At 38.4% G+C, this 12,358-nt stretch overlaps 1 protein-coding gene across 16 annotated transcripts in view; it reads right to left on the bottom strand.

Moving 5' to 3' along the window:
- The window catches only part of FSD1L (fibronectin type III and SPRY domain containing 1 like), a 110,257-nt gene that overhangs the window by 33,703 nt on the left and 64,196 nt on the right, over positions 1-12,358 (bottom strand). For 9 of the 16 annotated variants that reach the window (XM_017015185.2, XM_011519079.3, XM_011519078.3 and 6 more), the window contains 3 exons: positions 12,123-12,332; positions 10,016-10,114; positions 5,795-5,924 (listed from right to left, as the gene is read on the bottom strand). In XM_017015185.2, the coding sequence (XP_016870674.1) occupies positions 5,795-5,924; positions 10,016-10,114; positions 12,123-12,332 (439 nt within the window). Of the gene's footprint in view, positions 1-5,099; positions 5,133-5,794; positions 5,925-10,015; positions 10,115-12,122; positions 12,333-12,358 lie in introns of all 16 variants that reach the window. The other 7 variants (XM_011519077.3, XM_005252254.3, NM_001330739.2 and 4 more) reach the window with 1 other exon arrangement.

The following is a 12,358-nucleotide window of genomic DNA, read 5'->3' as shown; positions in this document are numbered from 1 at the left end:
TATGTCAATTTTAGATCTTTCCTGCTTTCTCTTGTGGGCATTTAGTGCTATAAATTTCCCTCTACACACTGCTTTGAATGTGTCCCAGAGATTCTAGTACATTGTGTCTTTGTTCTCATTGGTTTCAAAGAACATCTTTATTTCTGCCTTCATTTCGTTATTTACCCAGTAGTCATTCAGGAGCAGGTTGTTCAGTTTCCACATAGTTGTGTGGTTTTAAGTGAGTTTCTTAATCTTCAGTTCTAATTTGATTGCACTGTGGTCTGAGAGACTGACTGTTATGATTTCCATTCTTTTGCATTTGCTGAGGAGTGTTTTACTTCCAATTATGTGGTCAATTTTAGAATAAGTGTGACGAGGTGCTGAGAAGAATGTATATTCTGTTGATTTCGGGTGGAGAGTTCTATAGATGTCTATTACGTCCGCTTGATCCAGAGCTGAGTTCAAGTCCTGAATATCCTTGTTAATTTTCTGTCTCATTGATCTGTCTAATATTGACAGTGGGATGTTAAAGTCTCCCACTATTACTGTATGGGAGTCTAATTCTCTTTGTTGGTCTCTAAGAACTTGCTTTATGAATCTGGGTGCTCCTGTGTTGGGTGCATATATATTTAGGATAGTTAGCTCTTCTTGATGCATTGATCCCTTTACCATTATGTAATGCCCTTCTTTGTCTCTTTTGATCTTTGTTGGTTTAAAGTCTGTTTTATCAAAGATTAGGGTTGCAACTCCTGCTTTTTTCTGCTTTCCATTTGCTTCGTAAATATTCCTCCATCCCTTTATTTTGAGCCTATGTTTGTCTTTGCATGTGAGATGGGTCTCCTGAATATAGCATACTGATGGGTCTTGACTCTTTATCCAGTTTGCCAGTCTGTGTCTTTTAATTGGGGCACTTAGCCCGTTTACATTTAAGGTTAATATTGTTGTGTGTGAACTTGATCCTGTCATTATAATGCTAGCTGGTTATTTTGCCTATTAGTTGATGCAGTTTCGTCATAGTGTCGATAGTCTTTACAATTTGGTATGTTTTTGCAGTGGCTGGTACCAATGGTTCTTTCCATGTTTAGTGCTTCCTTCATGAGCTCTTGTAAGGCAGGCCTGGTGCTGACAAAATCTCTCAGCATTTGCTTGTCTGTAAAGGATTTTATTTTTCCTTCACTTATGAAGCTTAGTTTGGCTGGATATGAAATTCTGGGTTGAAAATTCTTTTCTTTAAGAATGTTAAATATTGGCCCCCACTCTCTTCTGGCTTGTGGGGTTTCTGCAGAGAGATCTGCTGTTAGTCTGATGGGCTTCCCTTTGTGGGTAATCCAACCTTTCTCTCTGGCTGCCCTTCATTTCAACCTAGGTGGATCTGACAATTAGGTTTCTTGGGGTTGCTCTTCTTGAGGAGTATGTTTGTGGTGCTCTCTGTATTTCTTGAATTTGAATGTTGGCCTGTCTTGCTAGGTTGGGGAAGTTCTCCTCGATAATACCCTGAAGAGTGTTTCCAACTTGGTTCCATTCTCCCCATCACTTTCAGGTACACCAATCAAATGTAGATTTGGTCTTTTCACATAGTCCCATATTTCTTGGAGCCTTTGTTCATTCCCTATTATTCTTTTTTCTCTAATCTTGTCTTCTCGCTTTATTTCATTAAGTTGATCTTCAATGTCTGATATCCTTTCTTCCACTTGATTGATACAGCTATTGATACTTTTGTTTGCTTCACGAAGTTCTCGTGCTGTGTTTTTCAGCTCCATCGGGTCATTTATATTCTTCTCTAAACTGGTTATTCTAGTTAGCAATTCATCTAACCTTTTTTCAAGGTTCTTAGCTTCCTTGCATTAGGTTAGAACATGCTCCTTTAGTTTGGAGGAGTTTGTTATTACCCACCTTCTGAAGCCTACTTCTGTCAATTCGTCAAACTCATTCTCCATCCAGGTTTGTTCCCTTGCTGGCAAGGAGCTGTGATCCTTTGGAGGACAACAGGCATTCTGGCTTTTGGAATTTTCAGCCTTTTTGCGCTGGTTTCTCCCCATCTTTGTGGATGTGTCTACCTTCTGTATTTGATGTTGGTGACCTTCGGATGGGGTCTTTGAGTGGATGTGCTATTCCTTTCTGTTTGTTAGTTTTCCTTCTAACAGTCAGGCCCCTCTGCTGCAGGTCTGCTGGAGTTTGCTGGAGGTCCACTCCAGACCCTGTTGGCCTGGGTATCACCAGCGGAGGCTGCACAACAGCAAAGACTGCTGCCTGTTCTTTCCTCTGGAAGCTTCGTCCCAGAGGGGCAACTGCCAGATGCTAGCCAGAGCTTTCCTGTATGAGGTATCTATCGGCACCTACTGGGAGGTGTCTCCTAGTCAGGATTCACGGGGGTCAAGGACCCACTTGAGGAGGCAGTCTGACCCTTAGCAGAGCTTGAACTCTGTGCTTGGAGGTCCGCTGCTTTCTTCAGAGCTGTCAGGCAGGAACGTTTAAGTCGCTAAAGCTGCACCCACAGTTGCCCCTTCCCCCAGGGGCTCTGTCCCAGGGAGATAGGGGTTTTATCTATAAGTCCCTGACTGACGCTGGTGCCTTTTTTTCAGAGATGGCCTGCTCAGAGAGGAGAAATCTGGCAGTCTGGCCACAGTGGCCTTGCTGAGCTGCAGTGGGCTCTACCTAGTTCGAACTTCCCAGCAGCTTTGTTTACACTATGAGGGGAAAACCACCTACTCAAGCCTCAGCAATGGCAGACGCCCCTCCCCCGACCAAGCTATAGCGTCCCAGGTCAGTCTCAGACTGCTGCTGTGCTGGCAGCAAGAATTTCAAGCCAGTGGATTTTAGTTTGCTGGGTTCCATGGGGGTGGGACCCGCCCAGCCAGACCACTTGGCTCCCTGGTTTCAGCATCCCTTTCCAAAGGTGTGAATGGTTCTGTCTCACTGGTGTTCCAGGCGCCACTGGAGTATGGAAAAAAAAAAAAAAACCTTCTGCAGCTAGTTTGGTGTCTGCCTAAACGGCCACCCAGTTTTGTGCCTGAAACCCAGGGCCCTGGTGGGGTAGGCACCAGAAGGGATCTCCTCATCTGCAGGTTGTAAAGACTGTGGGAAAAGTGCAGTATCTGAACCGGAGTGCACCGTTCCTCAGGCTCTGTCCCTCATGGCTTCCCTTGGGTAGGGGAGAAAATTCCCTGACCCCTTGCACTTCCTGGGTGAGACAACACTCTACCCTGCTTCAGCTCGCCCTCCATGGGCTGCACCCACTGTCCAACCAGTCCCAATGAGATGAACCGGGTACCCCAGTTGGAAATGCAGAAATCACCTGCCTTCTGCGTCTATCTTGCTGGGAGCTGCAGACTGGAGCTGTTCCTATTTAGCCATCTTAAAGATCAAATCTGGCACATCTTTCTTCCTAAGAATGCCTGGCGCGTTTTCTTAATTTGGCAAACTACGGTCAGCTCCACATTAGCCACAAACTTCCAGCCAGCAGTCCTTGGGAAATTCTCCTGGAAAGAAGACAGCCGTGCCATCTAGTGACGCGCATGTGCCCTGTATGTGATCTTTCAGGCCCAAGCGTAGGCGGGCGTTGATGAGGCAGGGTGGGGGCACAGGGTAGGGTGAGCTGCCCTTCTCGCACCAGACTTGGTGCACAGCTAGTGCACTGTAGTTTCGAGAGAGAGTTGCAATTCCACTCTTCTCCCCATCATGATCATATACCGTATCTGCAATCCTACCCTAGGCACCTCTATTCAGAGGTCCCCTTACTGGAGGGAGGCCCTAGGCTGAGTTGCTTTTCAGGTGTCTCTGCGTAAAACTGCTTTAGGGCAGAGGTCAGGGGAGGAGTGATGGTCTGAAAACACTTTTCTCCACTCTGTTTTAGTATCTTTCCCATTTTAGCCCCTCACTCCCCACCTTCTTGACTCTCAGGCCCATAAACTGGCAGGAACCTTTTTGTTTGGGGCTTGCTGGCAGTGAGAAGATCCACTACTTGTGATCTGTGTTGATTTACATGACCTTCACCCAGTGCCATTCTGTTGGGAAAAATTGAACACTGGGGTAGTGGATACTCTTTCCTTTGTGGCCTCTTGCTTATACTATCACAGCAAATCAATAAAGGCTTGATTATTACCTTTAGTTTGGCTATCCTACCTAACCACCTCAACATCTGGCAGCTCTGGGCATCTTTCTTCCTCTGAATACCTTTATTCACACTTACAATTCTACATATGTCTACCTTGCATTATTGCTACTTGTACATACATCTCATCTACATAAGTTAGGGCAAATTTCTTGAAAGCAGAGACAGTGTTTATCCCTATAAATCCTATAACATCCAGCAGACATCCTACAGCAAACAAATATTTATGGAAAGAATATATAAATGCATATAACATTCGACAAGTAGCCTATACGTAAAATACTCTTAAAAAGTAGGAAGGGAGAAATAATATAACCTTAAATCATAAATATGTAGTCTACTCATAGACTATTAAATTCAGCATTTTCCAATTTATAATACACTATAAAATCACTTTTACCAATAACAAGTACATAAACTGAAAATAAGAGGAAGATAATTTTGAAAAGAGAACACATTCTGGTTTCCAGTAAAGATATGTAGTATCTTCAAATAAGCACATTATTACTCATGCAAATTGAAACCATTCATCTTTCTGGAACTGTCTTGATAATTTTAGCAATGGCCTTTATTTTTTATCCTTGTTGCTCCTGAAACTGCCTAATTATTATAAAACAGAGAACTCTTCAAACCTGCTGTGTGTCAAATACAAATAAAAGCGAAGCTATAATGTTAGACTAACGAATATTATTCAGTACAACAAGAAAGATGCCAGGTATGAGTAAAAGCAGAAAAATAAATCAGATAAGGGAAAAAAATTCAAGAAAGACTTTAAAGCAGAGCTTATTTTGTTACCATATACAATATAATCCAAATAATATGCAGCACACTACAATGTAAATTCAAAACATAAGCTACCAATACAGTCTACACAGAGCAGTATTTTAGCTTATGAAGGCTGCCGCAATGGCTTCTGCTTATTGGTTAAAAGATAAAATTAAAGTTTTTTTAATCAGCCAAGCTAGATTTTACTAAGTCCTAGAACTAGACAGACATAGATCATCACCTTGTATGTTTCTTCAGTGAAGTAACATGGACACTGTCAGATAAAAACAGGCAACTGTTAAGAAACTGTTTTACAACTTAAATTTAACAGCTTATAATGAAATCAGATTAAAGGCCTGCTGAGGAATTTTTGGGGATTCATTACTGTAACTCACAATGGCATTTATCTTCAGTTTGAGCAAAAATTTCTTCTATTAAAAAAGAAAGAGGATCCCATGTTTTGACTTTATTTAAATAAGTTAGTTATGACAGTAACAAAAGGTCCTTGAACCTGCCTCTTAGGTTCATTGTGTTGCTGATCAGAGGCAAGACCCTAGGGTTGTACCTATTAAACGCTGTCATTTAGTGCAGACCAGACCTGCAGGTAAGATAGGTGATCTATAAGTCTAAAATTCAGGAATTATACTAGAAACTTCTTCTAAGCAATTCAAGTTGCTGTATATATAACTTTAAAGAAATGGAATACTGAAATGAAAATGTGTAAGAGGATTAGGGATGAAACTAAAAAAAAGTAATAAAAAATGTTAATGACCTATTAAACTACTGACAAATAGTATTATATTCTTCACTTTGGTGCTACTAATATACTGTAACTCTCATAGGTATATTGACTAAGAATTTCAATAAAAGTTATTGTTAAATAAGAACCAGTGTACAAGCATTTGTCCATATGGCAGATTTAATGGTCTAGCTTACCTGCCCTTGTTCTCTTTTCCTTTAATTTTACTTTCTTGACCTTTTCCTCCAGTAGGATCCCACTCTACACATGTATCTTCAACTTTCAGGTTCAAATGGGATGAGGAGTTATCCAAATTGAAGTTAAGTGCTATTCAAGATAATATTTAAATATATTTTTAAAATATAGCATATCTCCACTTTCTGAAACACAGCTATCACCACATTATTTTCCTACTCAATCAATTCAATACTGAATACAGAAAATAAAGTTCAAATTCATAATCCTAGCACTTAAAGTTCTCAATAATCAGGCTATAATTTATAATTCTTATCTGATTTCCCATTATTCTTCTCTATATATCCTATACACCAACCAAATACAATGTACTTGCATGGTCACTGACATTTCTCCTGTTCATTCTACTAAAATCTCAATGAGTACACAGTAACCTAAATTTCCTGTTATTAGGATATCAGTTGACTGTTATGACTAAATAGGAAGGGGAACTGGAAGAATTAAGGAGAAGGATAAAATTACATAGTGTAAAAAATTATAGAACCTGGCATACACATTTTCTCTGATACTCTAATATTTAATAATTTCATACCTACACTGTCAGTTTCAAAGTAAGGCAAACATAGAGAAACTGAGGCCGTGATGGCAGAACAAGGAAACTGGCCCAGCTGATAGATAATTTACATGACGAAGAGTACAGAGGGAAAAGAACCACATAAATTTAAAAAAAAACCATAAAACTATGACTTCCAGATTATTTAATATTTTGAGGAATTAACTATACTTTTCACAAGACTTACTCAGAACTGCTTTAGGAATTTAGGAAATCAGTGAAGCAAGGTATAAGCTTCTTTCCTTGGAAACTGAGGGTAAATCATTAGAATGTACTGATTCATGGCTAATCACACCATTCCTTTTATCTTAAAATATAACTCTCGGAATCTCTATCTTGCAAGGTATCAGCTATTACACAGTTACTAACTAATCTGCCTGTTAGTTCTATTTCCCTCCAAAGGTTCAAACTTCTAGTATATATTAAGAAATACAGTATCCCTTTACAGAACCCTATTTCACTTATGGATATTACTTAATTTAGCTAAGGCTTCAGTGTGTCTGTGAACTATGACTCTCTATAGGTTTATTTTGTTTGATGATACATAACTGTTTACCTAATGAATCAATAATCCTTTTATCCCCTACTGTTCTGTAAAGAGCACTTTAATTTCAACTATGCATTGGAGCTATTGTTCATTGTTTTTTATTTATGAAACAACATTCTGAATACAAATCTACTGACCACAGAGCTTCCAGTAAATGTCATACAGTACAAGGAAGTTCACAGCTTTCAACATCTGCATTTAAACAGAAATGAACTTACAGAAAAAAGAGATAATGCAGCAATCATGCAGCTTTTTAGTAAAAACAGAAATAGAATTCCTTAATAGACAGGTTACCAAAAGGTTAGGATTAAGTAAAACTTATACCCTGCATTTCCAAGAATGAACTGCCTTAATAAAGTTAACATCTATATGTGAGCTACTAGGTAATGCATGTGAGAGCTTCTACATTTTTGAGAAAGAATATTGGATTTAACTCTAAGGTGCCACCAATTCTCAACTGCTTGCTAAAATCCTAAGGCTGTTTTTTTAAAAAAGGAAGAAATCCTAAGGCTGTCCCCTAATGTTTGTTATGCTGGAGAGAAGGGCCACCAGCAATACTGGTGTCAAAGGTGGCAAAAAAAAAAAATAGATAGTACCATTGAAAACCACTTAAGACCATACTTATTAAATACTGCAGCATCCAAACAAAAAGGCATGGATTTCAAGCCTAAGGAGTGTCATTTTCGTATCTCTCTTTCTTTGTGGACACTACCCCTTATGGACCTCAGTTAAGTTATAGAGCTCCTCTAATGTAACAGAGATAATACTCTATAGTTAAAAAAAAAAAAAAGACTAGCCTCAAAAGTGAGGTCCTATCTCTTGTATAAGTCCTATAATATAACTAGATACTGGTTCCCGTATCTTTAATAGTCTGTGAAAACAAAGTACCAAAAATCAGAGTACAGATATGTTTCATATGTTTAACTTGTGCGAGTGGCTGCTTTCTTGGTACTATAAAATTATATCATAGCTGCTATCAATTAAAGTTGGAGAATAATTTGTGATTTAGTAATTTAATATCATTTACCTTCACAAGAAAATAACTAATAATATACTCTAAATATTCTGGTGATAAGAACTTATATTACTCATGACTTCTGAGAATTTCAATGCCAGAAGAAATAGTGCTTCATATGTTGGAGGGCAGAAGTAAACAATGTTCACTATTTTCCATATCAAGAACCTTAAGTGGAAGTATATGAAATTTTGGTAGGCTCAACTACTCAATCTCCACCTTTCTTCCTTTCTCTCCAGTTTTTTGTCCATACCCTAATTTCTACTGGTTGGTTGAAAAAGGCTGCAACAAGCCAAATAAATTGGTAAACAACTGTTCAGTGTGTCATTGGTAAAAATGTGGACTTTTCCTCTGCAGCTCTTACTCTCATTAGTAGCCCCACTAATGCTATGGAATAACCCTAGAAAATCTGTGACTCATGGCCATGTAGGAGTCTAACTTTATTCTGGAACTCCCTGAAGGTCAGAATCACTGTTTTGTGGGTCTCAGAGTTGAGTTTCAGTCTATTCCTACCGCAGAGGGTTTACTCAACAGTGAAGAAGTGCTGAAAAGGCCTAGAATCAACTTAGTTTCTCTCTACAAACCCCATGATTAAGAGTTTGACCAGTAACATCCAATCACTGCTAATAGGAGCAGCCAGCCCAGCTGGAAGAAAACCACAAGCCAGTGATTCATTTTCCTGTATCTATGAAATTTGCATAGAAATTATAATTCACCACATTTAGGTCCAACTTTGGTCATTAAATATGAACAGTAAATGAAAAGAAACAAAAGAAATTTTAAAAATATGATGCTCTTGAGGAAGAATAATAGTAATGAATTTTACTTGATGGGCTAAAAACAGTTCAAGTTATATAGAAAAGATTATCTGCCTACATATGACTATTATTTTAAAATGGTAAAAACCTCTACAGAAACCACAATAACATCTCAGTTTGATAACATGTAATACAGAGTTAACTGCATTCCTTGGCTAAGTTACCTATAGTTCTCAAATAGAAACATCTGCTAATCCAAACAAATTACTTCAAGATAGACTTTATTTCAGACCTTTGTGATGCAAACATTTTTCTGAGTTTGTCTCATCAATAACTTATAGGCCTTATATTTTGTTTTATTATATGATTTTTTTTGTCATCCTCCAAATCCAATCAAATTTCTGGCAGGTAAACCTATTCAAATGCTATATGAACTAGAGGTCAGTGGAATGCCTTAAGTCCCAAGTGCCTACAAGAATGTGTAGAGTCTGGTTCTGGAATTAAACCCAGTCAATAACCATCTCACAACTAGGAAAGTCTCCAGCATTATAACCTTCAAATTGGTAAATATCTAAAAAATCCTCTGTATTCAAGTCTGCTACTCTAGGGAGTTTTCATTAAACCCCAATTGCTTTCAGAGACTAGAAGAACCTAGGTTCCAGGCTCATAGTAAGGGCTGGCACAAAACTCAGAAGTGGATTCTTATTCACACCTTTCCAAACTAGGTCTAGGGATCATGGGAAAGTCATTTAATATATGAAAACTCTATTTTTTCATCTGCAATATGGGTATCAATAATATCTAGCATATTGATCTCTCAAGATGACTTTAATTATCTAATAAAGAATTGAAAGTGTTTTGTAACCATTAATAAACTATATAAACGTTAACTGTTGCAATAAGATACAGGAAAACAGAGAGGACCTGAACTAAACAGATACTTCCCCAATATTGATTCATAATCCATTCTATGGGAAAACTCTGGGCAAATCTCAGTGATACTTACCTATTTATAACAAGATTGAAATTTATAAATTAAGCATCTCCCAGAGAATACAATACCATCATCTCAGTCTATTTTATCTGTATAAATAAAATCATATAAGAAAACCCAATGAAAACCACTACTGTAGTCCTATTTTCCCTTAAAATTCTTACTGTTGAGAAAGCTAGGCTAGGAGAAGTAGAGAAGTAATTCAACATCACATGAAGTGCTTCCTGTTACAAAGTTATGAATAACTTCAGATGTTAAGCTTTGTTTTATGCTGTATAAAGAGCTACTGATCTCACCTTTGGTCTCTAGAGTCACTGGATCAGAATACTCTCCAGCCACAGCCTTGTTACAAGCTCGCACTCTGAAATTCATATACTTTGAATCAAATTTTAAGCCTGAAGAAACGAAAACATGGTTTTCAGACATGTACAGTAAAGGATTCTATTCCCAAAAGTAAGAGTATGAGCCTTCAGGCATTAAGAACCGTGTCTCTGTATTCAGGAAGAGTATGAATTTGTTAAAAGAGTGGTATGTGGGCCAGGCGCAGTGGCTCACACCTGTAATCCCAGCACTTTGGAAGGCCCAGGTGGGCGGATCACAAGGTCAGGAGATACAGACCACCCTGACTAACACGGTGAAACCCGGTCTCTACTAAAAATACAAAAAATTAGCCAGGCGTGGTGGCGGGCGCCTGTAGTCCCAGCTACTCGGGAGGCTGAGGCAGGAGAATGGAGTGAACCGGGGAGGCGGAGCTTGCAGTTAGCTGAGATCGCGCCACTGCACACCAGTCTGGGCGACAGAGCAGGACTCTGTCTCAAAAAAAAAAAAAAAAAAAAAGAGTGATATGTGGTCGGGCGCAGTGGCTCACGCCTGTAATCCCAGCACTTTGGGAGGCCAACTCCCGAACCTGAGGTCAGGAGTTTGAGACCTGCCTGACCAACATGGAGAAACCCCGTCTCTACTAAAAATACAAAATTAGCCGGGCGTGGCTACTCAAGAGGCTGAGACAGGAGAATCACTTGGACCTGGGAGGCAGAGGTTGCCGTGAGCCGAGATCGTGCAATTGCACTCCAGCCTGGACAACAAGAGTGAAACTCTGTCTCAAAAAAAAAAAAAAAAAAAGAAGAGTGATATGCTCAAAATAAGAGGAATCATGATTTAATTATTATTTTATTCAAAAGAAACACATATAGTTTATCAACTGTTATTTTAACCCAGTGATTAAAAAGTACCCTTTCAGGCCTCATTAAAAGTAGTATTTCACTCAGAGAGAGATGGTACAATTTACAATAACATATTCAATTTAAAGTGAACACCCTAAATAATTTTTATATTTATGAAACGTTTTTTATGTGAAAATGAATTTAAAGAGGAAGTAAAGCAGAGATTACTAACAAACATTTTGAAGTACAGTCTGGATTACTAAATCTCAGTTTTGAAATTACTAGCTATGGGACCGTCAACAACTTGACCGAGCCTGTTTTCTAGCTGTAGAACAGAAATAATAAAGCCAACTTCATAATTGTTGTAAAGATAAATGAGATGTATTATGCTGATTAAATGAGATGTACTATATGTAATACACTTGAGCCCATCTCCTGATAAATGGTAACTGCTCAATAATGGTGCTCCTAATATTACTCCTCATGCGTAATAAGCATTGGACAACTCAGGCAATATTTTGCCATTTCAAATATCCAAAGTCCACTATATACTGAGACATTCTTATAAAGGCTTTCAAAAGGTCAACACAAATTTCTATTGTTATACCAAGTCACAGGTCTTTGTTAATTATTAACATGAAGGTAATCTTGAAACAGTAAAAGCTACAGTATTTACATTATCAGTGAAATGGGTAATGAGAACATCTAAAAAACCAACAGCTTTTTAAGAGTCAGAAAACCAAGGTAAAAATTAAATGTTATTCTGAAATACTATTTTCAGAATATCCCTTCATATATATTTTACATATATTCTGTTTCACTATGTTACAAATGTCCAAAAGTAATAAAGACAAAGGTTTCCAGCCTGGTCAACATAGTGAAACCCTGTCTCTACCAACAAATACAAAAATTAGCTAAGTGTGGTGGCGTGTGCCTATAGTCCCAGCTTGTCAGGAAGCTGAGGTGGGAGAATTACTTGAACCCAGGAGGCGGAGGTTGCAGTGGGCCAAGGTCCCGCCACTGCACTCCAGCCTGGGAGATAATAGAACAAGATCCTGTCTTAAAAAAAAAAAAAGGGTTTCCTTGATGTTTCAAGAGAAAATCACTTCCATACTGAGTATCTAAAAACTCAGTGTGACTAAAGAAACTTTAAAACTTTATTCTTTAAAGTAACTCAAAATATTTTTCAACAATACATTTATCTTCTGAGAATGAGAGTCCTAAAATGCAGTCATGTTACCTGATAGTGTATATTCAGTACCCTTAATATTATCAATTATCTCCCAGCATCGCTCATCCTTTACACGTGGAAGTCCATCAAAATTAGTCTTCCTATGTTCCAGTATAAAATGGTCAATCTTATTATCTTCTTCTGGCATTCTCCAAGCCACTGTTACAGAGTTATCTGCCACCAAACACTCTACTGGATCTATCTCTGGAGCTTTGGGGACTGCAAAGAAGAAAAAAAAAAAAGAC

Source organism: Homo sapiens, chromosome 9 (assembly GCF_000001405.40).
Source record: "Homo sapiens chromosome 9, GRCh38.p14 Primary Assembly".
Lineage (NCBI taxonomy): Eukaryota > Metazoa > Chordata > Mammalia > Primates > Hominidae > Homo > Homo sapiens.
Note: the sequence above shows the minus strand (reverse complement) of the source record. Positions and strands in the feature narration are given on the sequence as shown.